The 26,967-nt window shown below is 41.0% G+C and overlaps 1 protein-coding gene across 6 annotated transcripts in view, besides 1 other annotated feature; it reads right to left on the bottom strand.

Annotated features, from left to right (window-relative positions):
• Window positions 1-26,967, bottom strand: part of COMMD1 (copper metabolism domain containing 1) — a 247,668-nt gene that overhangs the window by 20,046 nt on the left and 200,655 nt on the right. The gene's annotated exons all lie outside the window — the stretch shown is intronic.
• Window positions 16,263-16,552: an enhancer, noted in NCBI's record as "active region_15846". NCBI's record gives its function as "activates an Ori minimal core promoter by ATAC-STARR-seq in GM12878 lymphoblastoid cells {active_cell/tissue: GM12878}" and the evidence as "EXISTENCE:reporter gene assay evidence [ECO:0000049][PMID:35858748]".

Below are 26,967 nucleotides of genomic sequence, written 5' to 3'. Positions count from 1 at the left end.
TAGCTGGGCGTGGTGCCTCATGCCTGTAGCTACTTGGGAGGCTGAGGTGAGAGAATCAATTGAGCCCAGGAAGCAGAAGTTGCAGTGAGCCAAGATCATGCACTCCTGTCTAGGTGACAGCAAGACCCTATCTCAAAAAAAAAAAAAAAAAAGAAAGAAAGAAAGAAAGAAAGAAAGAAAAAAAAAACCCACCAAAATTATGACTTTCCTATCTATATTCTACCCAGATTCACCAATTGTTCCATTGTTTACATTTTACTATATTTGCTTTGTCAATCGTTCTCTCACACACAACCACTTGTAAGTACAGGATGTCATACCCCTTTATCTCTATTTAGCTTAGTGTATATTTCCTAACTCACATAGCCACAGTTATATAATATTGATAAATACTATCTAATACAGTCTATATTCAAATTTTATCAAATGCCCCAGTAATACCCTAACTAGACTTTTTCCCAGAATCAAATCTATAATCACACACTGGATTTAGATGTCATAACTCTTTTATCTTTTACTCACACTATTATTCCCACATTGAATGTTCTCACTACTTCTAAATCTCATGTATCTTTCAAGGCCTAGATTAAGTTCCATTTTCTTAATGAAGATTTTCCTGATATTCCAGCCAAACAGGCCTCTCCCTCCTCTGAATCAGTGGAAAATTTAATGATCTTAAAAATGTGAGAAATATTGCACACTATGTGTGCGTGTGCCTAATCTATTGACTAGTTCCTCTCCCCAGTGATTAGTGAACATGGGCTTTGAAATCATACAGACATAAACAGAAATCTAAATAAAGACTCCACCACCTTCTAGCTGTGTGGTTGGCTAGGTTTTAGTTTCCTAATCTGCAAAATAGTCGTTTTAACCGATTTAACAAATAAGGTAGTTGTGAGAATTTAATGATAATGCATTTAAAGCAACTTCACAGTTTTTTGGTGGTAAAACTGTGTCTTACACCTCTGATTTTTTACCATAATATCTCATACTCAACAATATTAAAAAATGTTGGCCAGTTAAGCACTATCTCTATTTACTTTCCCAAAGGGAAAAAAAAGTGCTTCACTCTGACAGTAACTCACTGCACCCCTAGCAATCTAGTCTGACCAAGGAACCTCGCTGCCAGCCTGAAATCTGCAGCAGTATCCTGCTTCCTCGATCTTCCTAATGGCTACCTCCTGATATCCTGCTGCTGCCTTGTACACATGCATCGGCTAGTGGAAGAATACCAGAGGCACCAGAGTCAAGTGTGTTCCTTCCCTCCAAGCTCTGGGCGTGACACTGGCCAGTGCAGCAGAGTGGAAGAGTATGACAGGGCACCAAACACAAACAAGACTCCAGTCTGGAGCAGCCAAGAACATGAGCCTGCTTAGGGGACTGCTAATGAGCACTGACTAAAAGCAGGGTCCAGAGCTCAGGTGCGAACTCTCTTTCCTGTCTGCCCATCACTGGCAATCCTAAGAAAGAAGAGGAGAGTACTCAAATCAAGCAATTTTCTTATAATCAAATTGGGAGATAATTTTAATATTCAAAAATAACACTGAAAAATCAGGAAGTCCACAGTTAAGATGCCATTCATACTTCATTTCCATAATTCCCTTGCCCTCTTGATAAGAGCAAGGGAGGTAGTATGCAGAACATTTCCAATCTATTGTTTTAGTATAATAATCTCATCCTCTCCACCTCTGAGAAAATACCAATAAAATTATTCTACTTATATCCAGTCAATCCTCTGTGTAAGAGATTAGAACAAAACAAAACAAGAAATACAGCAGCTGCATCAATTCTTCAAAGTACAGAAGTACAAACCCACCTCGAGATTTGGGATCAAATATAATTTGGGGTTTTCTATGTTACTACTCAAATATTCTATCATTTTTCTGTTTTTCCTTCTGTCAATTAGAACTTCAAATGAAAGTAAAATGCTACCTATGGATAAAAATATAAAATGAAACAAACCAGAAAAATCCCTGAATCCCTCATTTCAAACTGAGAGGACAGGCCTCCTGCAAAGCTAACGGAAAATTGTATCCTCATAAATGGGCTGTGATGAGTATTTACATTTGCCATCTGAAAAGAGAAAAGAAAATTCTAAAGCAAAGCCTTTATATTTCTCTTCATCAATGAAGAGTAAAAATACTGTAACACAAATATAAAATGAAACTTCCAATAATTCTGCCATTTATAGAGCAAAGGCCCTAAGTTTTAGTCTGCCTCTGAGAAATACTTATTAAACAACTGCAGGCTAAATCAATGTGATGACAATGGACATACTATATCCTGAAGGTATGTTAGCATCTATTTCTTAGAATATAATGGCTCAGGCCAGGCAGCACAGTGGCTCATGCCTGTAATCCCAGCACTTTGGGAGGCCAAGGCAGGTGGATGACCTGAGGTCAGGAGTTGGAGACCAGCCTGGCCAACATGGTGAAACCCCGTCTCTACTAAAAATACAAAAATTAGCTGGGTGTGGTGGTGGGTGCCTGTGATCCCAGCTACTCAGGAGGCTGGGGCAGGGGAATCGCTTGAACCTGGGAGGTGGAGGTTGCAGTGAGCCTGGGTGACAGAGCGAGACTCTGTCTCAAAAATAAAAATAAAAACCATAATGGCTCTATCAGAAATTTCCAGAAAATCATATACATATATATATATTTTTTTGAGACGGTGTCTTGCTCTGCTGCCCAGGCTGGAGTGCAGTGGCACAATCATAGCTCATCATAACCTCGATCTCCTGGGCTCAAGTAATCCTCCTGCCTCAGCCTCCTGAGTAGCTAGTACTACAGGCACTCACCACGACATCCAGCTAATTTTTTTTTTTTAATTTTTTTGTAGTGATGGAGTCTTGCTATGTTGCCCAGGCTAGTCTTGAACTCCCAGACTCATGCGACCTCCCACCTCTGCCTCCCAAAGTAGGGGGACTACAGGCATGGGCCACCCAGTCCATATATGCTTTTGTAGACATCTTTAATTCAAGGAGAAAAATCTCTTCTCAGTTCACTCCACCGCATCACTCATGAGATCTTAATATAATGCTTAAAAGTTCAGTATATTTAGAACATTTTGAAGATTAGGGTTAGAAAAGAGTCTTTGCATGTAAATGCTGTTATTTTATACTGTTTCCCTTTCTCTTTACTTAAAAAAAAAATCAGGAAGTGAGCCTTCTCCATCATTACCCATGGAACCCAAAGCAGTATTAAGAGAGAAAAAATCATTGATTTAAGAGTCTGACTATACAGGTTTAGATATGTCCCCACTACTATTAGCTGTGTGACCTTGGGGAAAAAAATTAATTTTTTGAGTCTTGGCTTCCAAATCTAAAAAATGGAAAAATAATACCTATCTTGTAGGACTGTTAAAAAGACTAAATAAGATGGCATATGTACAAGCACCCAACATTGTGTCAGGTATGAAACAGACTCTCAATAAATGTTTGTTTAGTCCTTCTTCCTACCTTGTTACACATACCCCGTCCCTTGACACTTTATAAGGAGTTCTAAACATTTTAACTACCAGCTCTGTTTTCTTCAAAACAGGCACTTGGCTCTTAATAGTGACAAACAGTCATGTGAAAGACTCCTGGGGCCTGACATTGTTCCGGAGAAACAAAAAAGTTCTCATGTTAGGGAACAGTACCAACTGCTTCAGGCTATGACAAGCCCCAAAACATAAATCTCTTCCTGCATGTTTTTACAGTGTTACTTAACATCCTGAGAGCTTTGTGCTCTTCCAAGAGTCTTTTTCTCCCTGTAAGGATCAGGCACACTGTTTGCCCTCTTTTCCCTTAAGAGAGGTCTTTATTCAACATGACCACCCACTGCACTCAAATATTTGGAATCAGAAAAGGCCAGGTTCGACCATGAAGAAACTGGCAAAGTCTCAGGACTAAACAGTAAGCCCTTCTTAACCTTTTAAAATCTGGATTTCTGTGCTTGCTTTTCTTGAAAATAGCAGACTTGTTGATGTACTGGTTCAAACACATCTGTGTATTTTCCTCACCTACATTACCAAAGAACTTACCACGTAGACTTCTTACTGAAGTCCTGAATCTCAGACTATGACTACAATTTAATAAGGCAGTGCTTCCCAACCTCTCTCACTTCATGGTACAGACAGACCTTGAAAAATGGCACCTCTTGGAAAGCTCTGAACTAAAGGGACTTGAAAGTATTGATGACTACTAATGGGACTGTTGGGGCTCAAAAAACAATATCCCAAAGCATGGCACTTTGGCATGGTGAGTACTTTGAACTAAAAGACTGGATGGCCCCAGAAGTACCCTCAGAAGCCAAGCCTCTGACTTTCTCCTGCCTTCCTGTCTCCCTCCCCTCTTTCCCGTTTCAAGTCATAGAAACCAGAATTCTTCTTCCCCAGGGTGGGTCACAGAAACTAGAACCCCTCTCCCTCAAAGCAAGCCATAAAACCTAGAAAGGTCACTCTCTCCCTTCTAAACCCTTATTCCAGAGGGTCCTGCCCCATATCTGGGAGGAAGGAATGCTATACAGACAGGCCAATAAGAATCTGAACCGAAAGGCCTTGCTGGGCTTCCCCCCTCAGTCTATTACCATTAGAATACACCCCATGTACACTTCTACGCAACTGTCCATTCTTTATCAAACCTAAGCATAAAAACAGACAGTTTTCCCTATGTCTTGGGATCTTCATTCTGAAGCCTTCCCTGTCATATAAAACTTGGATGAAATAAATTTATTATGCTTTTCTCTTGTTAACCTGTCCTTGTTGGCGTGTCAGATGTGACCCTTATGATGGGTGAGAAAAGGTATTATACTTTTTCCACCTTTACAAGGCTCAGGACATGCCACCCCAAAATGTGCCTCATTAGCATAAGGATTATTGTGAGAAACTTGTAAGTGAAATGCACATCTATAAAGAAAATCTCCATTCGTAAAGATATCTCCCTCTCTGCACCAGGTAAAGAAAGATGACTAAATCACTAGAGACTCAATCAATAGGGAATACACAAACTTAAATCTGCATTAATAAACCTTACCTTTGTTTTATGGTGCTTTTCGTGGCCATCTTAGCTGGGCCTTTCCCCACTCTTTTTTTGTTTCAGAGAATGACAGTATTTAAGCCTGATGTTTACCCCTTTGAGATCTACCCTAAAGATTTACTCATCTCTCTGGGTTATTTCTCATATATACAAGAGGTATCTTATTACATTTCCATCTGTTTTTCTCTTGTTAATCTGTATTTTTTGAACGGTGTCCCAGATAAGAACTTGTGAATGGTGGAGGAGAAAATTATTTTTCCTCCCTCATACTACAAAAGGTTAAAGTACAAGCAGAATTGAGAGAAAGGTATACAAAGATAAACCTATTTGCCATCTAACACAGAGACTTTAATCACATAAACATAATTGTCTCAACTTCATGTAGCTCAGGGTCAGTGTCCACACTGCCTCACAGAGCTGATCACTCTTCACTTCTGTCAGAACTCAAGGAGAAACGGGATGTCAGAAAAGCAGCTAACGTTTGACTTGGGGCAGTCAGTTGTCAATGTAAGAATCACAGAACTGTAAGTCAGTGAATTAGGCATAAAAAACTAATTCAGTGTCTTATACCTGCCAGGCATAGTTGTAGACAATGGGGATTCAGCTTTAAATAATAGTGTCTGCCCTTCAGCTGGGTGTGGTGGCTCATGCCTGTAATCCCAACACTTTGGAGGCTGAGGCAGGAAGATCGCTTGAGCCTAGAAGTAGATGACCAGCCTGGGCAATATAGTGAGACACCATTCCTATAAAAAAAATCAAAAATTAGCCAGGCATGTTGGTGCACCCCTGTAGTCCCACATACTCAGGAGGCTGAGGTGGGAGACTAACCCCAGGAGGTCAAGGCTGCAGTGAGCTGTGATTGTGCCACTGCACTCAGCCTGGGCAAGAGACCCTGTCTCCCACCCCCGCCAGAAAAGGGCAATTTCAGTAGATTATGTAGGGCTAGATGTGGTGGCTCACACCTATAATCGCAACACCTTGGGAGGCAGGAGGATCACTTGAGGTCAGGAGTTTAAGACCAGCCTAGGTAACATAGCAAGACCACATCTCTACCAAAAAAAAAAAAAAAAAAAAAAAAAGATCAAGATAAGGTAGATTAATACTTTTCATGTCATGAGACAACTATTAGCCACCTCCCAGGTAGTTTATTCAAGGGGATAAAGACAACTGAATAAATTACAGATAGAGGCTGACCCAGTTCCAAATTCAATTCTCACATTCTTATCTAGTTGTTAGGGTTAGTGGAGTCACCTCTGTCCTTTGATAACATACAACAACAGGATGACATCATTTACAGGGAGATCATGAAGACCCAGACGTATAAAATTACAAAGCACAAGACCACAAATCAGAAGACTGAAGTTATAGGATCTACTTCCAATTCTATCACCTCATGGGAATTCACGTAATTCACTTAAAACTCTTGGAGCCTGACTTTCTTCATCTATTCTATCCCACTTCATAGGGTTTTTAGAAAGTTTTAAGAAGACGATATAATAAAAGCACCTGAAAATATTTAAAGCATTGGACAAACGCTAACTATAACTGCCTAATCAAAATGTTTATAAGAAGACTCAAAAGAGAAGAGATGGGCGTAGCTACATTTAAGACCAAAATGAGTTCCTGCTCCTGTATATTAGCTGTTTTAAAACCTTAGCTTCCATTCTATTGTCCCCAAGAGCTTTGGAGGAAATGGATCCCAAAAAACGATATCAGGGTTTACAGAATGCTTTTTAGTGATTGCCCTCAACCTCACCAAGCCAGATCAGAAAATTACTTTCTGAAAGGTTTTCATTTCTTGGTATGCTAATTCTTTCAATTAAGAGATAGGAAATAAGTATGAAGTCACTTCTCTCAGCAATTAAGTCATTATCAAGCACCTTGATAATCTCTGTTCTTCTTGGAATACTGCCCTTTTGGGTATCTCTATCTTAAATTCAATTGCCTCTGGGGCAGACAGGCCAAGTAGACAGTTACAGCTTGCTGGGGCAATATGGGGAGAGTAAGGAGTGGTAGGACTGAAGTGCTGAGTACAGTATCATCTAAAGGGATAATAACTTCTCAGCTCTAGCCTGTTATTTATAGAAAAGTGGGCCCAGTGTTGCCAGATCTTTGCTATTTCAAAAGACTACAGAAACTACATTTTGTGACACACACCCAATTTTATTTTATTTGCACAATGCTTACAGTTATCTAGGTCTACTATAAATGGAAGGATATCAGAGCACACCACCCCAAAATATGCCACCTTCGCAGAATGATTTTTTTTAACTGAAGGCAATTGATAAACAGGAGAAATGCTTTGCCTAAAAGCAGAACATAAATCTCCTTTGTGGAAGTGTCCCTACCTTTTATACAGGAAGGGCAAAATGACTCTTAATCACCTGAGATGATTCTAGAGTCTTATTATTATTAGCCCATAGATGGCAAGAGAGAAATCTGCCTTAAAAACCTCCCTAAAACAACCCCTATATTTACCTTCCCACAATTTACCACCCCTAGAAAGCTCAAACCCCTTTTTTGTCTTGTACATCTCTACAATTTACCACTTTTTGTTAAAAATGGTATATAAGATCTCAGGCCTAACCACTTTAGGTCTTCATTTTTTTTTCTATGAAGTCCTCCATATGCACATGTAATAAACTGTTTCTCCTGTTAATCTGTCTTCTGTCAGTTTAATTGACAGGGCCCCAGACACTGAAACTAGAGGGCAGAGGGAAAAGTTTTCTCCTCTCCTACAAACATAGTGCAGAATTCTCTGCCTGTGAAAGGATGAGTTATGTATTTAAAAAGTATTTGCCTAAAATACTTTTAGGCATTGTGATGCCAATATATGTGATGCCAATGTATACTTTATCATTCTGATATAGGGAAGTAAATATTAAGCAGGGCCTTGCAAGCTAGAGATGGGAGAGAAGACAGTTCAGGCTGGGCAAACATGATATGCAAAAATACTGAGGTAGAATTATGGGCTGGCATGCTGGGGGATAAACAGACTCATTTTGCTGAAAGATAGGATTCCTTTTGAGAAGGAATAGGGCATAGGTGGGAAAAAATGTGAAAGACATTGAATTCTAGAGTTTTTTATAACCTTTAAAGGAAAAAGTCTGTAGATAATGGAGAGCTATTATGAGGAAGGGATCACTACATTTCATATCTTGTCAAGGGTTATATGTTACTGTTCTTTCCATTTTTTCAAAAATAGAAGATAAAGCTGAATGTTGACACATAAAACTTAGAGTTCTAAAAAATTCCCAAATGAATGCCGGTTTAACTAACCACATTATAAGTAAATTCTGTTGGCAATGTGGTGGTCAAGGCTTTCAAAGCAAAAATTAAATGATCTCTAAGAGGCTATTTCTTTCTAATCAATAAAAACATTTAGAATGTAAACCCCAAAGAAAAGGCTACTGGACAGTTTGGCATTTTGTCAGGTTCATCATCAGGCAGAGCTCTCTTCAATCTGCCTGAAAGCTGGCAAGAAGCTGGATGGAGAAGGCTGGCCTCATAAAAGTCTTCAACCAGGTACAACAGCCCCAGAATGCACTGCCATCCATATTCACCAAGTGGAGATATGCCTCCACCAGCTCATGTTTCAACCTCAGAGTCATTTTTGTTTCTTCTGCAACAAATGATTCTGGGGCTACCAGTCCAGTTGATACTCTCAGGAAAAATTCCTAGAGACAAATGGCCAGGAGAATAGAGCTAGTGACCCTCACCATTACCTGCAATACTAAAATACCAAATTAAATGAACTTTGTTCTTTTAAAGAAAACATCCTAGAAGACAGAGTTGAAAAAGCAATATACAGATTGCTAAATAACTTAAACTTTCCTATAAGGCAATGAGGGAACCATTAATGAATTTTGCCTAGGTAAATAACATGATCCTTAAAATTTTAAGGATTTTAAGGAACACTAACCTGGTGGTAATACTCAGTATGGCTTGAAGTGGTGAGAAAGATCAGAAGCAGGAAGACCAAGGTAAGCAAATGTAGAGCTGGGAATGAATGAGCATGGTAGACCTGCAGAATAGTGAGAAGGCAAGTCTGGGCCTCATAGGGCCTAGGGACCCACCAGGAACTGTTGCTACTCTTGCAAGCATGTAGATTAATATTTTTCTCCACCCTTCCTTTGTTTCTTGATTTACAGTCTCTCACACACACGGATGTGCACTTTCCACACAGTCTCTGCTTCTGCTTACCAATTTTTTTCTTTTCTCCTTTCCAGAAAACTTCTGCAGTATACAGATGGCCAATAATTACTACCCTAACTCAAATTCTATGCGACCTCTGTTTTGGTGCTCATCACCACCTGGCAGCTTCCCTACGTCTATACGTTGAAAATCCTGAGACGACTCTACGTCTCAAAAACTATTATCTCTGTCTGAGTGAAGCTCATCACACCAAACCATAAAATACTTGTTTAGAGTGTGGATAGGTCAACCCCCATTCAGGGTCTCCTCTGATCTAATTAGCTGAGGCCAGTGGTAGGGTTGAAAAGCTGGCATGCTCTACTATTCACACAGCAAGGGTACAGGGAAAGTAGCTTCCTTTAGGTAAGATGACAGGGTAGGACAAACAAAGATACATATCTTTTGCTGTAGTTCAGAAAGAGCAGAAAATAAAGCTACCCTGAGTAGAACACAGAGAATGTTAAAAACCAAGAATGTTAGAAGTGATGGCCATTTAAGATTAGCAAACACATATAAGATTAAATGGTACTGATATAAACAAATTGATTATTTGATTAAAAATGATGTACATGTGCCCCTTGGTCCAAGCAAAGTGCCATATATAAAGAATTAGTTTCACCCAAGTGAAAATTGTTCATTTTCTGCCAGGCACAATGGCTTATGCCTGTAATATCAGCACATTGGAAGTCTGAGGTTAACAGCATCACTTGAGTACAGGATTTTGAGGCTGGACGTGAGCTATGTTCACACCACTGCACTCCAGCCTGGGTGACAGAGCCAGACCCTGTCTCAGAAGAAAAAAAAAAGTTCATTCTCTAAAGGATTTCACAGGTCTTTTAAATATAATCCCTGACATAGTTTGGATATTTGTCCCTGTCCAAATCTCATGTTGAATTGTAATCCCCAATGTTGGAGGGTTGGTGCTGTCTTTGCGGCAGTAAATGAGTTCTTGAGAGATCTGGTCGTTTATTATTTTATTTTGAGACAGAGTTTCACTCTTGTCACCCAAGCTGGAATGCAGTGGCACAATCTTGACTCAATGCAACCTCTGCCTCCCAGGTTCAAGTGATTCTCCTGCCTCAGCTTCCCAAGTAGCTGGGATTACAAGCGCCTGCCACCACCCCAGCTAATTTTCATATTTTTAGTAGACACGGGGGTTTGCCATGTTGGTCAGGCTTGTCTCGAACTTCTGACCTCAGGTGATCCACTCGCCTTGGCCTCCCAAAGTGCTGGGATTATAGGCGTGAGCCACCGCACCCAGCCCAATCTGGTCATTTAAAAGTGGCAATCCCTCCCCCTCCCTCTCACTCTCAAAAATTGAAGTTTCAGAGATCTGATGTTCTTATGATTTTCTAAGAACTTACATATTATGTAGCATTAATAACATATTTTAATAAATCATATTTAAGTTTAATAAATGCTATTTACTTCTAATAATTATATTATCGCTAAATAATCTGAAACCCAAAATATGAACCCCAAACAAAATTAGTATAGGCAAGGAAGGTGACAGACAAGCAAGGATTTCAATAGAAATTAAAACTCATAGCAAGCAATTAAGCCCAGATTCTGACAACCATAATAAGAGATTTTTCTGTTTTCTTAGCATTTGTTTATAATTCAATCTACTATTATGTTATATAAAATTTTCTTTTTTTTCTTTTTCTTTTTTTTTTTTTGAGACAGAGTTTTGCTCTTGTTGCCCAGGCTGGAGTGCAATGGTGCGATCTCAGCTTACCGCAACCTCCACCTCCCAGGTTCAAGCGATTCTCCTGCCTCAACCTCCCGAGTAGCTGGGATTACAGGCAGGTGCCATCATGCCTGGCTAATTTTGTATTTTCAGTAGAGATGGGGTTTCTCCATGTTGGCCAGGCTGGTCTCAAACTCCTGACCTCGGGTGATCCACCCACCTCGGCCTCCCAAAGTGCTGGGACTACAGGCATGAGCTACTGCGCCCAGTCATAAATTTGCTTTCTTTACATGGCTGTTTCTTGAACCTAGAAGACAGATTCTGTTTTGTTTATAGTTTTATCTCTAGCACCTAGCATTGTGCCTGGCACATAACAGGCACTTCTAAATGATGACTTACTGGCTGGTGGGAAGAACATAAGAATGGAACAAAGTAAGGGATGTGTTTGTTGTTGTTATTGTTTTTTTTTTTTTTTTTTTTTGAGACGGAGTCTCACTCTGTTGCCCAGGCTGGAGTACAGTGGCGCGATCTCGACTCACTGCTGCCTCTGCCTCCTGGCTTCAAGTGATTCTCCTGCCTCAGCTTCCCGAGTAGCTGGGATTACAGGTGCCCATCACCACGCCCAGCTAATTTTTGCATTTTTATTAGAGATGGGGTTTTACCATGTTGGTCAGGCTGGTCTTGAACTCCTGACCTCAGGTGATCTGCCCACCTCCGCCTCCCAAAGTGCTGGGATTACAGGCGTGAGCCACTGCGCCTGGCCTGTTGTTTTCTTCTAAACTTTTTGTAGAGATGGGGTCTCACTATGTTGCCCAGGCTCACTGTGAGCTCCTGGCCTCAAGTGATCCTCTGCCTTGGTCTCCCAAAGTGTTGGGATTATAAGCGTAAGCCACTGTGCCCAGCCTAAGGGATGCAGTGAATATTGCTAACCCATATTACTATCCTATAACAAGCTTCATCAAAAAGAATTCTAATGGGCTGGGCAGTGGCTCATGCCTGTAATCTTAGCACTTTGGGAGGCTGAAGCGAGTGGATCCCTCGAGCTTAGGAGTACAAGACCAGCCTGGGCAACAAAGTGAGACCCTGACTATACAAAAAATACAAATATTAGCCGAGTGTGGTGGCATGTGTGTGCAGTCCCAGCTACTTGGGAGGCTGAGGTGGGAGAATCACTTAAACCTGGGAGGCAGAGGTCGCAGTAAGCCGAGATCATGCCACTGCACTCCAGCGTGGGTGAGAGAGCCAGACCCTGTCTTGGAAAAAAAAAAATACTGACGGCACACATTACAGTTCTAATTATTGAGAATAATTTACTATAGATGATATAAGGTTCCATTTCTGTTTACATTGCTGATTTCAGGAAACATGTATAAAGAAGCAACTTTTTCCTGTGCTTTTATGATCTGTGAAGCAAAATTATTCTAGTCATTTTTTAGGGGTAGTATAAAGATGAACTGAGCAATTTTTGAAAATGCTCAATTGGTCTGCCCAGTGAATTATAAAATTTAACTAAAAGTTGAAAGCAAAGATGACTACATGCTAAGTTATAAAATTGTGCCTGTGTTCTATATACGGTCTACACCTAAAATAAACTCATGATAGTGTGGAAGAGATGTACATACTGTAGGGGCCACATACTGTAGGGGCCAAGGGCCCTCTGAAAGTTCACTGAAAAAAATCACTGACATGGGGCAGATTAATAGAAGAAAAGGCAGACAAATCTATTTAACCTGTATTCACAGAAGCCTTTACAATGGAGAACCAAAGATACAGGGGAAATTTTCCATTTTTGTGTGTAGGTTCAACAAACTATGGAAGAGGTATAGAAATACGATTGGAGGCCGGGCGCAGTGGCTCATGCCTGTAATCCCAGCACTTTGGGAGGCCGGCAGGCGGATCACGAGGTCAGGAGATCGAGATCGTTCTGGCTAACATGGTGAAACTCCGTCTCTACTAAAAATACAAAAAATTAGCCAGGCGTGGTTGCAGGCACCTGTAGTCCCAGCTTCTCTGGAGGCTGAGGCAGGAGAATGGCCTGAACCCAGGAGGCGCAGCTTGCAGTGAGCGGAGATCGCGCCACTGCACTCCAGCCTGGGCAACAGAGCGAGCCTCCGTCTCAAAAAAAAAAAAAAAAGAAAGAAAAAGAAATATGATTGGATAAAAAGGGTCTAACACCAAAGAATCTAAAGCTAATAGACTAAGTGGAGAAACCCAGCAAGGCCTGTCTGTCTAAACTCTTCTTGGCCTCTCTGAGCATGCATTCCTTCCTTCTGGGTGTGGGACAGGACCCTCTGTGGAACCAGGGTGTTATGGCCTACAGTCAAATAAGGGAGGTCAGATAATTTCTTTATGGCCAGTTTTTACACACAAAGGCAGAGGGAATGTTAGAGTAATACTCTTAGGTTTTATGCCTGGCTTTGGGGACAAGGAGTTCTGGTTTCTATGACCTGCCTTGGGGAAGAGGGATTCTAGTTGCTATGGTTAGCCTTAGGGGAGAATGAGACTGAGAGACAGGAGAGCAGGGGGCAGAAGGTCAGAAAAACTTCTGCTTTTGAAGCTTTCATTTTGGGGTATTGTTTTCTGAGACCCAGCAATACACAATGAACTACAATTTGAAGTAAAAGGTCAAAGATATAATAGAAAAGGTTTAATTCAGACAGTCCAAGTGACACAGAAAAAAGAGAAAATGTTTAGTTCAGGTATTTGAGTGCGTATTAAGTCTGACAGGAGGAATTAAGAGTTTCATGAAGGAAATGGCATCTGTACTAGGATTTTCATAAGAAATATAGGAATATTTTGAAGCAGAGGGAATATCAAAAGTACAAAAATAGTACAGAGGGTGTTTATATAAATTTAAGTCTAGTCTCATGGAAGAGGAGTCCAGGTGATTTATAGTCAACGTGAGATGTCATAAGGCATTAGGACTTCATACTTCAGGTGATGGGAAGCTGTGATACAATAGGAAATATGTATGGTCTTTGTTTATGGTTTCTCACACACAGCTCCTAAAATCCTTGGAATCTCATGATAAGAGTGTCTTTTGTACGCTAATGAGATGAGTGGTGGCTGGGGGCCCCTAGATAGCTTCAAGATGGGGCTGGTAGTCAGAAAGACCAAAGCATGATTTGAGTGTTAGAAATTTCAGTACTATAGGCTGACCTTCAGGGAGAGGAGAGGAGATGGAGATTAAGTTAATCACCAATGGCCAATGATTTAATCAATGGTGCCTACATGAGACAGACACCATAAAAACCCCAAACAACAGTGTTTAGAGAGCTACCAAGGTGACGAGCACACTGAGGTGCTGAAAGGGTGGTGTACCTGGAGAGGGCATGGAAGCTTTTGGAGTTCCTCCTCCATACCTTGGTAAGTAAAGAACTTTACTTCATGAGCCATTCTAGCATATTATTGAACTGGGGGGTAGGGATCATGAGACTACCCAATTTGTAGCTAGATATAAGTGTGGGTAACCTGGGGACCATATATATATATATAGAGAGAGAGAGAGACAGGGTCTTGTTCTGTCACCCAGGGTGGAGTGCAGTGGTGCAATCAGGGATCACTGCAGCCTAGACATTCTGAGCTCAAGTGATTCTCCTGTCTCAGCCTCCTGAATAGCTAGAACTACAGGTGTCTGCCACTATGCCCAGCTAATTTTTTAAATTTTTTGTAGAGATGGGGTCTTGCTATGTTGCCCAGGCTGGTCTTGACTTTTGGGCTGAAGTGATCCTCCCATCTCGGCCTTCCAAAGTGCTAGGATTACAGGTGTGAGCCACCATGCCTGGCAGGGACTCAATACTTTTGACTGGCATCCAAAATGGGGTTAAGACCTGTGGGGTCTCCACTAACTCTGGGTAGTATCAGAATTTAATTGTAGAACATCCAGTTGGTATTCAGAGAATCAGAGAATTGGTTGGCATGCAGGGGAGAAAAAACCTATACTTTTGGTGTCAGAGGTGTTGTGAATAAAAGCCCAGAAAAGCCATTGAGGACTAAGCTCTCATTTTTTTTTTTTTTAAATCTTGCCCAAATTCCTATCTAAGAGATCTGGGGAGTCATGTCCTACAAACCATAAATTCTCATCAGATGGGTTTTATTTAACCCTATATGTCATGACTTACTTTCCAATCAGACTCTGGCATAACATTATAAGACAGGCAAAAAAATCAAAATATTTAATCCCAAAACATGTTTCTCTGCCATATCTTGAAAATGTCCCTGCAAAGCCATCCTTTGTAGGGTGAAAACCTGCATCTGTAAAGAATCTCTATTAACATAGCTAGATCTTTTTCTTCCAGGTCCTCCCAATCCTGAAGAGATTAGCTAAAGTCTAGTACCTTTTAAAGATCCGAATAGGAAATATTTTTCATCTATTGTCTCTGAGGGCAGCTACTATAAGACTTCAAAAGAACCTTGGTCTCCACAATCTTTTACCTTAACCTGGACATTTCCTTTCTGTGGATCCTAGGTCCTTAGATAAACTCAACCAATTGTCACCAGAAAATGTTTAAATTTACCTATAGCCTGGAAGTACCTCCCTGCCCCTACTGTCCCCTTCCCCGCCTCCTGCCTTTGAGTTGTCCTGCCTTTCTGAACCAAACCAATGTATTTCTTAAATGTATTTGATCGAAGTCTCATACCTCCCTAAAATGTATAAAACCAAGCTGTGCCCTGATCACCTTGGGCACATGTTCTCAGGACCTCCCGAGGGCTGTGCCACGGGCCACGGTCACTCATATTTGGCTCAGAATAAATCTCTTCAAATATTTTACAGTGTTTGACTCTTCAACAATAATCTGGTGCCCAAACACGTGGGGCCACAGAGAAGACTCAGGACCCTGAAGGAGTTGCCTAAAACCCTAGCTAAGGTACTAGCAGGGGCCCAGTGAAACCTCACCAAGTTCTAGCTTCTCCTCTGGTGAAACTGGTAAGTCCTCCTGAGTCCTGGACCTCCCATTTTGGTTGATGGTCCTTGATTTATTCTGAGCTGTTTTTTTTTTCTCTCTCTCTCTTTTCTCCTAGGAAGTTGGTTAAAATCTTAATTTTGGTTTCAGAGGTGTATTCAAAACAGTCATTCTCCATTGCCTTTTCTCTCAAAATTAATCTCAATTGGCTTGTCTGTGTGCACTTTGCGTGAGGAACTGAACTATTATTTTTCATAAGCAAATGAGAGAGTGAGTTCCTCAGCTTTGAAGAGAAAGGGCATTTTGCTCCTCCCAGCTGGAAGGCGCCCCTGGGTGACCAGGGGCCTCGTGGGAGTGTCTGGGAGGTTGACTCTCCGCAACATGCAGCGGCCCTACAGGAAACTCCCCAACAAATATTAAGAAGGCTTGTCCAGGAAACGCATATAAGGGCTGGTCGCCTGGTGTTTTGAGCCCTCTCAGAGGTGACAGACCTCTGAAGAGAGAAACTGAGACACGTAAGAGGGTAGAAACGACTCAGTGTTGAAACACTGTAAAGTGCTGCCCACAAGCAGCACATATTGATCCACCACACAAAAGCCTTAGGCCACAGGTCAATTGCTCTTAAAAAAAAAAAAAAGAGAGAGATAGCAAATAAACCCTCCAAAAGAGAGGAAAGGCAAGGAGAGCGGTCCCCAGTGGGCACCACAGCTGGGTTTATGTTTAATAATTATGGTGCCTTGACTTGCGAGTATTTATGTAAATAGGAAGATCTTACTAAAGATGACCTAGGTCTAAGGTTTCCAAAATGGGGAACTTTTGATGTCCCTAAATTGGTTTTCTTGTGTGCTAGATTAGAAAACTGAGGCTCCCGAATCAAAGAAAATGAATGGGAATCGTACTTAGGTGGCATCTAGAATCATCAAAAAGAGGAAACGATAAGCTTGCCTCTCTTTAGGAAGTTAAAAAAAATTTTGAAACTGTCTCGCCACTTCTAAAATCAGGAAGGCTCCAGAAACTGTCTCCCCTTCTGCTCCTCCTGACCCTCTGCTCTCTCTGAACTTCCTTGTCCAGACAATTTCATTTTTCCTTCTCCCTCCCCTACTCCCTTGCCTCAAGCCACAGGGGGACCAGAAATAGCTGGATAAAATAATAGAGTAGTTGCTCCTTTTAGGGTAAAACCTACAGGCAGAGGGGATCCTAACATAATGTATAGCCCCTGGACCAAATCAGAGTTAAAGGCCCTGGTACCTGGATTCCCCAGTCCGACTGAAGATCCCTTTAAGTTTGCTAAGGAATTCCAATTAACACTTAAGACTTATGATCCAGGGTTCTCTGACATGTGTCAGCTGATTGAGTTACTGGTCCCCAGAACAAAGCTGAAGAATGATTTAGAGTAGCAGATTGGAAACAGCCTTTAGAAGATTTTGACAAAATAGATGCAGCTGGAAGACAGAAATGGAGAGCTCTGCAATCGCCTCTGTGAAACTGTACCACAGATATTCTCCACGGTTACAGATTGGGCAAAGGTGAAACAATGTAAAATACGCCCAAACAAAATTGTGCCTGACTTTTATATCAGGTTTGAAAAGACATTCAAACAGTTTTCAGGAATACCCTTGGGGAAAGTAAGTGACATCTTACTAAATTCTGGGTTTATGCAAGGTTTAGATAAGGAGTTAGCAACCCTAATAAAGAGGAATAATGTGGCTTGGGCTTCCTTGCCCACCAGTCACTTAGTCAACCCTAGCTGACATCAACCCTAGCTGACCTAGCTGTCACAATCATTAAGAAAGAAAAGGAGGCCAGGCACGGTGGCTCACACCTGTAATCCCAGCATTTTGGGAGGCCAATATGGTGAAACCCTGTCTCTACTAAAAATAAAAAATTAGCTGGGTGTGGTGGCGCATGCCTGTAATCCCAGCTACTCGGGAGGCTGAGGCAGGAGAATCTTGCTTGAACCCAGAAGGCAGAAGTTGCAGTGAGCCAAGATCGCGCCATTGCACTCCAGCCTAGGCAAGAGACTCTGTCTCAAAAAAAAAAAAAAAAAAGAAAGAAAGGAAAGGAAACAGTCTCTAAAATTATGAGTTTACAACTAAAACAACTTAGAAACCAAGTTGGGAGTTTGCAAGGGTCCCATGGTCCCCAGAGATCTAAGCGACCCCAAGAGGAAGCAATTTGCCACTATTGCAAAAAGAAAGAATATTTTAAAAAAAGAATGCAAAAAACTTAAACGGGTGCTTGCACAAAGGGGGCAAAGGGCCCCAGAGGAAGGCACCAGAACAACTCAAAAACCAGAATAGGGATGCTCTGAGGGAACAGAGAGGGTTTCCCCCCTACTTCTAACTAATGCTTTAGGAGAAGTAGAAATAGCCATAAATGGGGAAAATACCAGAGCCTTTGTCGACACCAGCGCTATACTGTCGGTCCTCATCCCTACCTAGATTAAAAACCCTCTCCCTTGGAGTAAAGAAAAAGTCCAAATGGTAGGGGTTTCAAACTCTCTTATTATAGCCTTTAAATCAAATCCCTTTCAATTTTAATTAGGAGGACTAGTGAGGCATCACCTTTTTCTTATAGTAGATAGTACCCCCATACACCTACTACAACAGGATTTCCTAGAGACCCATAATGCTCACATCTCATTTTCACAGAAGGGAGAAATGATTCTCAACTTGGGAGATGCAGACTTACAAAAGCCCACATGTACATTATGCTTGTGAAAGTTAATCAAGATTCTGGACAGGAAGAATTAGAGCCTTTCTTACCTAAGGTACCAGACTCCCTATGGGCAAACTCTTCCACAGATACTGGTAGAATTCAGTCAGCAGTCCCTATAGAGCCAACCCTAAGTAAATCCAAACCCCTGCCAAACGTAAGGCAATAGCCCCGAAGACCTGAAGCCTTACTAGGAATCAAATCAGTCATTCAGGACGATTTAGACAAAGGACTTATAATACCCTGCACCAGCCCTTGGAATACACCAATTATCCCAGTTAAAAAGCCAAATGGGACAAGCTGGAGACTTGTTCAAGACCTAAGAGCTATAAATAAAATAATAATTCCTAGACACCCTGTTGTTCCTAACCCCCACACCTTACTGTCCAATATTCCTATCACTGCCAGCCACTTCTCTGTTACTGATTTATGTAGTGCATTCTTCAGTATACCTGTGGAGCAAAATAGCCAGTATCTTTTTGCTTTCACTTGGGCAAATCACCAATACATGTGGACAGTCTTACCCCAGGGCTACTCAGAAAGTCCTACTTATTTTTCTCAAATACTAAAGCCAGATTTAGATGACATTGAATTTCCAAATGAATCTACTCTAATTCAGTATGTGATTTATTGTTGTGCTTATCCTCCCTACCAAAATGCAGAGAAGACACTGTCCACCTATTACAATGGCTTCGTTTTAGGGGACACAAAGTGTCAAAAGATAAATTACAATTTTGCCTCCCCAAGTTAAGTATTTGGGACATATGATTTCCCCAAGGGGGCTATTAATAAACTCTGAGAGAATCTCTGCTATTACGACCTTTCCCCTGCCCAAAACTAAAAAACAATTAATAGGATTCTTAGAGTTGACAGGCAGGAGTTGGATTCCAAACTACTCCTTAATGCCCAACCCCTATATAAAAATCTAAAACAGACCCAGCTGGACCCAATCCACTGGGAAGAGGGGGGAAAAAAACAACACACAGAAGATCTAAAACAGGCTCTCACCCAAGCACCTGTTCTAGGCCATCCCAATCATAGTCTTCCTTTTACCCTCTTTGTACATGAAATAAATGAGAATGCTCTAGGAATATTAACTCAAAAACATGGTGACTTGTTGGTGAAAGCTGTTCATTCTAAAATGTAGTGAAATTCAGTCTAGTTCTGCTGATAAAGATCATCAGTTTTGAAAGGTTACTGATTTTTCTCTTCCCTCTTAGTTTTTTGCCCAATATATGGAGAAGAGTAACAGTCAATCTTAACATTTTGTTTTCATTGTTTTTTAATAAAGCTGCTAGGCAGCGGTGCAGCATTCCTACCTAATGTCATAAAAGCAAAATACTTACATAGCTTTCTTAAAATGTAGGAATGACATTACATTTTTAGGAGAAAGTTAGTTGCTTTGCACTACTTACTTAACTCTTTTCCATATATTGTGATACAAACTTTTGAATATGGAATCTTACTATTTGAATAGAAATGTGCATGTATAATATACATACATACACGAGCATGTGTGTGTATATATAACCCAGATTTTTATATACACACACATATATGTATACATATATATATATATGTATATATACACACAGGATTATATATACCTGTGTGTATGTGTATATATACACACAGGGTTATATATACCTGTGTGTATATATAACCCTGATATGCATATATATATATATGCATGCTGTGAAACTTGACTACACAACATAAACCATTTTTTTTAATTCCAGGAATGGGTAGTCTGATCTGGTGATTATCCTTTTGAGGCTGAATCCATTATTATCTTGTTATTTAGGTTTTCACTAACAGTAGCAAGGGATTCTGAGTCAGTTGCACTTATACGATTATTGTCATTTAAAACTAAAAATAAAGGCTGCATTTTCAAAGATAAATTGGAGATTGCTATTGATGACATACAGCCAAAATACTGAATCTGATGTACATATAGGTTGCTACAGGCAGGGATAGTGTAATTTAGAATTTGGAGATTTAATAACCAGGGCTACCCAGAAAAAGTGACTTGATAACATGGTACCAATAAGTACGGGATGCTCTCTCGGTTTGCATTTGCTACTTTCAAGATTTTGACTTCTCAGGTTATTAATCAAAATTATTGTATAAGTTAGCCAATAGAATTTTTAGGTTAAAACAACAGATGGGAGGTTTGTGGAGTGTTTAATGTCATGGGCATTTTTAGTAGCATAGACCCTTTGTTCTGCATTTGAATGTTTCGCATATTTTTGTTTCACAGTTAATCTTCCCTCCCAAGTTTGCTATTCAAATCAAATGCCTGAAAGACATTTCTAGTAGTTTGATGTATTTTTTGAGGAAAAGTTTGTGATTCCAATGCAGGTGTCTTCATTACCATTTCCTCTACACTGCAGAAGAAGCAAAACTCCTTTGTGAGAATTATTGCACATGTGTATGGGGAAATTAGTTCCGAAAGGCTAGAATGATACAAGTGAGCAAAAGAAGTTGGTCAGCTTGACTATGGAGTGGTGGCAATAATCTCTAAACAATCCAAAAGACTATGAGCTGAACCTAAACTCCCTTGGAATCTGAACAGAAAAGAAATATAAAATTGCCATTTGAAAACTGACCAGCTAATCTGGACCTCAGAGATAGATCAGCCAGTGGCCCAAAGCCATTTCAAGTACAGAAATTGTATTGAGACTACAGCCAAATAAATTTGAACATTAAGTATCATTTTTCCACTTTTCCTTTTTATAAGCATATTTGTAAACTCAAAGCTGAGCAGAAGTGACTTTATTCTCTCAAGTTTGATACTCAGTTGATTGACTGTTCCCTTACCCCTCACTCTTCCCCTTCCCTTTCCTAAGGTAATAGTGCACAATTTAGGTTATTTTTGCTTCCGAATTTGAATAAAAAACCTAATGCTGTGGATTTTTTTTCTTTTGCAACACACCTGTTTATCACCTTGTTTAAATGTAAATGTCCCCTCATGCTTTTGAAATAAATTTCCTTTTGTAAAACAACAACGACAACAAAATATGGTGACAATCACAGACCAACTGGTTATTTCAGTCAACGGTTAGATCCAGTTGCAAGGGGGGCACCCTCCTTGACTGAGGGCTATACTGGCTGCAGCCACCTTATGCAAAAACATCAAAGAATTTGTCCTAGGGTCCCCTCTGACCGTCTATGCCCCCAACTCTGTGAAATCTCTTCTAAGCTCTCACTACACTCAACACTATTCTGTTAGCTGCTTTGCCTCTTATGAGGTACTCCTGCTTTCTGCCCCCAACATCATTTTAAAGCACTGTAACACTCTTGACCCTGCTACCCGGCTCCCCCTTCCAGGTGAACAACAAGAGGAAGACGAATATGACTGCAATCTACTAACTAATATCTTACTCTCCCCTAGGGAAAAATTACAGGAAACTCCCATAGAGAATGCTGAGTTAATTTGGTTCACGGATGGTTCTTATTTAAGGGACAACCAGGGGCATTACTGGGCAGGATACACCATCACTTCCATAACAGACATAATCAAAAGTGTCCAACTCCAAGGAATCAAACCAGCCCAGATGGCTGAATTAATAGCATTAACTAGAGCTTGTAAATTAGCTAAAGGAAAAGTGGCAAATATATTTACTGAGAGCCAATATGCTTTTGGAGTAGCCCATGATTTTGGCATGCTATGGAAACAGAGAGGATTTCTTACCTCATCTGAATAACCCATATGAAATGGGCACCAAGTCTCGGAGTTACTAGAAGCAATTCAGATGCCAAATCAACTTGCAATCATAAAAGTTTCTGGGCACTCAAAGGATAACACTCGAGAAGCAAAATGAAATAATCTAGCTGATGCTGCAGCAAAGAATGCTGCCCTAGGAAAGATGGCCTGTCCTGTACGGCAATGTACCTTTCGTCCTACAAATACCCTCACTAACATTTTTTTACAATATCAGTAAGCATCTACCCCTCAAGAGAAACAGAAGGGAGTTATGTTTGACCCAAGTAAGTAATTATGGATAGGGTCTAACAAAAAACCCATAGTTCCCATAGGTGCACAATTGCCTTTCCTTCAGTTTATTCACAAAATGACTCATTGGGCCCCTGAAAAAATAGTATCATGGGAAAACAATACTTTTGGAAACCATCCCCCATGGTAGCCCAAAAGGTATACGCTTGATGTACTATATGCCCAAAACCTAACCCTAGCAAGCCCTTACATGGCTCCCAAGGTCATTTTCCTTTGCCAATAGGACCTTTTAAAGTATGGCAGTTGGAGTTTATCCAGATGCCGCCATCACAAAATTTCAAATACATGCTGGTCTTAGTTTGTATGTTTTCTCATTGAGTAGAAAGATTTCCTTGTTGGAGGGCTACCACCTTAACAGTTGGGAAAATTTTGTTAGAATCATTCCAGTTTGGGGAATTCCTTCTGAAATGCACAGTGACCATGGGACTCATTTTACTGGACAAGTTGTTCAATCCATTTGCAAAATCTGGCCTATAATACAACATTTCCATTGTGCCTACCATCCCCAATCCTCTGGGTTGGTGGAACGGACAAATAGCACAATAAAAACTCAATTAGCTAAGTTGACAGAGGCTTTTAACCTCCCTTGGCCAAAACCCCTCCCACTGGTCTTGCTTAGTCTTAGATCCGCTCCTTTTCAAAAACATTATTTATCGCCCTGTGAAATCGTAACAGGGAGACCTATGAGGTTGGCTAAGGGCTTATACAAACTGGCCTTACTCAAAGGGGAAATACTGCATTATTGTCAAGGGCTCCTCAAAACCTTAACAAATAAAACAAAGCTGTTAACACAATCTTTCCATAGTGAGCTCCCGGGGGCTGACGACCCCAAAGACCACGGATTACAGCCAGGTGACTTTGTATATTGGAAAAGACTTCAACTGAAGGATTCCCTACAACCCCACTGGAAAGGACCTTATCAGGGGCTTTCAATCAACTCTCGTACTGCAAAGTTAAAGGGAGTCACTTCTTGGATTCACATTTCACTCCTAAAACAAGCACTTGACCACTTTCCTGACCGCCCCTGGACTTCTGAACCAGTCTCTGACACCTGCCTGCAAATCAAGAGAACACTGGAGGCTCAGCCAGTCTCTAGAGCTACAATGAAAGCAGACATACTTCCAGAGACGCTGGACCAGGCCCAGTCCTCATGAACCCTCAAATAACTCCCATTCTTACTTTCCTTGCTATAGAATATTGCTAAAACCCTGAATGTTTTAACTGAGACCCCTAAGAAGCTGTTTGGGATCGATGCACTCTCTTCCTTGGTATAACTTTCTAAATGGGTGCAGCTATACATTCCCTTGCTAAAGCCAGGAAACTGTTTTACTTGTTCATTCTCATTTCCACAATCTCTTCTGTCTGCCTACCCCACACTCCTTCTCTCTTCAGACCTCAAAATTTCTCCTGGTCCCCTGCAAACCTCAGCAATCTTCCTGCAGGCAAAGCCCATATCATTTGGTATGATACAGATCAGGATGTAATGAAGAGTGTTATATGGAACAGCACCATTCTAAACATTCCCCGAGGTGTCCAGTTTTTAGGGTACCTCTATTATAGGGCTGCAACCAAATATGATGCCCTGCAGGAATACTTGCCTAACAATGCCTCCCAAATGATCACTGAGGGGGTCTAACCAGGTAGAACACTGCATAACAATAGATATTGGGGATTATCAGTTGAGACAACTGCCTGGTTACAATGGGAAAAATCTAGCTGCCTCCTGTATAAACTGCCATAGCATGGCCTGCCCAAATAACCACCAGCCCCGTGCTTGTGGCTGGATCCTCCTATCCAGCACCAACCACACTGACACTGCCCTTAAAGAACTATTTATGGTCAAGTGGTGGACAGAGGTCCCTGACAGCACAAATTCCACCCTAAGACCAGGGCGCCTCTGGGAAGCATTATGGAATACCCAGACATGGGCATACTTAGATGTACCCTCCACTCACCTAACAATTGTCTGGGATACCCAGCAGTTCTGGATTGACTCCATTTATCCAAATTGTACAAATGCCATCAGTATACAATGGCAACAGCATTCCTGGTGGATACACCAAAATTGGCCACCCAAAAAACTAAAGTGTGACCTCACTGGAGGAGTTGGAGCTGGGTTAGGCATATTGGGGCAAGCCGAGTTCATGACTAATGAGGAGAGACATTCTTTAGAAAAAAATTCCCTATCAAAAATAGGCCACATTGAAGGAATGCTATTCCAGGAAGAGGGAAAAGGATGGGAAGCTGCTTTAAAAGATAATACAGCACTCATCAAATGGATAGAAGAAACCAGACAAACCATGAAAACATACTTCCAAACCCAAAGATGGGAACAAACATGTACTCTTACCCAACACGGGCTCATGTCTATTGTACTACAAATGGAATCTGAGGTGGCTATGAAGCAATGGCCTACAATCCTCAGTTCTGAGGCACAATCCAAACACCTGTGGAAAACATATGGTCCACCACGCTTATGGAGATTTTTGGACGGTAAATGTGACCTTAAACATTGTATTCTCAGAGCACAGGCACCGAAGTTAAATGAGGCTCAAAGGTACTCCGTTGTCCAACTGGCAGGCATTGGGACTATTATAAACAATACAAGAATACTCCCCCTGGGAAATAGGTGGGCTATTTTAGCCGATAATAACACATGGCATCCCATCTCCCTTTCAGATTGTGAAAACAGAAAAGGAGAATGGCTATGCCCTCAAACTACCTGGAACCCTGATTCTTCTCAAACTTGGCCTCTAATATCCAACGGGACATAACATCTGGTATACGGGGAAGGGCCGCTTCTGTTGGGAGGGACAAAAAAACAACATTGTAGAATTATATGACTTCTCCTGTAACAAAACTTCCTTTTCTCTTCCAAATACCAGTATATGGTGCAATACAAAAGTGGTTGGAAAAATAGATTTGTCCACTGTTAACAAGTCCTGTGACAATTTAGACATTGAGGACCAGGCGTTCCTTGCATTTGATTTATACCCTCCTCAGGATGTTATATCTATGGAGACAAATTGGCCAGAAGAGACATTAAATGTATTGGATTCTGATTTAGTGTCAGTCCTACAATCCTCAAATAAGATCTATCATAGGGTTCAAATGACCCTTGATAAGGAGGCTAATCACATTGTGAGTCTAATCAAAGAATATGATAAAGCATGCAGTGGTTTTTTTGGCTGGTCAGGTTGTTTACTGCCCTCTGACTCTACCTATAACCTTGGATGCCTAATCTTTGCTATCTTTATGGTGTTTGTCACTGTATTAGGATTATATATCTCTTGTAAATGTTATGCCAGATATAGCAAAAGGAAAAGGCACAATTAAAGAACTGGATCATGGTAGCTCACAAAATAAATATGACCTGGGATTTTTTTTTTAGACTAAACCCTAGGCCTGACTCCATCTCACCCCTTAAACTATTGGCTATTACATCAGGTTAGACTGTGTCCTCTCCCAGTGATCCAAATCACAGGTATTTAAAACTACTGCTACCAACCAGACTACTCTAGGAATGAGCCTTCCTAGTGCTGTGGGACCTTGCCAAATGACCAAATCAGACAACTCTAGGAATGAGCCTTCTTAGCGCTGTGGGACCTGCTGCTGTTAGTTGGCCTGCATATGCATTCTGAGGAATGCTTTTTGGCCAAGAGGGGAGACCGAGGACAAAGCTCTCATTTTTTTATCTTGCCCAAATTCCTTTCAAAGGAGTCTTGGGAGTCACGCCCTACAAACCATGAATTCTCATCAGATGGGTTTTATTTAACCCTATATATTGTGACTTAAATTCCAATCTGACTCTGGCATAACATTATGAGACAAGGAAAAACCTAAAAAATATTTAACCCCAAGACATGTTTCCCTGCCATATCTTGAAAACAGCCCTGCAGGCCAGGTGCAGTGGCTCATGCCTGTAATCCCAGCACTTTGAGAGGCCGAGGCAGGTGATCACTTAAGGTCAGAAGTTCGAGACCAGCCTGGCCAACATGGCAAGATCCCATCTTTACTAAAAATACAAAAATTAGCCGGATGTGGTAGCGCGCTTGTAATCCCAGCTACTCGGGAGGCTGAGGCAGGAGAATCACTTGAACCCGGGGGGCTTAGGTTGCAACGAGCCAAGATCACGCCACTGCACTCCAGCCTGGGCAACAGAGTGAGACTCGACTGAAAAAAAGAAAAAAAAAAAAAAAAGAAAGAAAGAAAAGAAAGAGAAAATGGCCCTGCAAAGTCATCCTTGTAGGGGAAAATCTGCATCTGTAAAGAATCTCTATTAACATAGCTAGATCTTTTTCTTCCAAGCCCTCCCAATCCTGAAGAGATTAGCTAAAAGTCTAGTACCTTTTGGAAACATTTGTCATCTATTGTCTCTAAGAGCAGCCACTATAAGACTTCAAAGGAACCTTGGTCTCCACAATCTTTTATCTTA

The sequence above is a fragment of the Homo sapiens genome, chromosome 2 (assembly GCF_000001405.40).
Source record: "Homo sapiens chromosome 2, GRCh38.p14 Primary Assembly".
NCBI classification, from domain to species: domain Eukaryota; kingdom Metazoa; phylum Chordata; class Mammalia; order Primates; family Hominidae; genus Homo; species Homo sapiens.
Note: the sequence above shows the minus strand (reverse complement) of the source record. Positions and strands in the feature narration are given on the sequence as shown.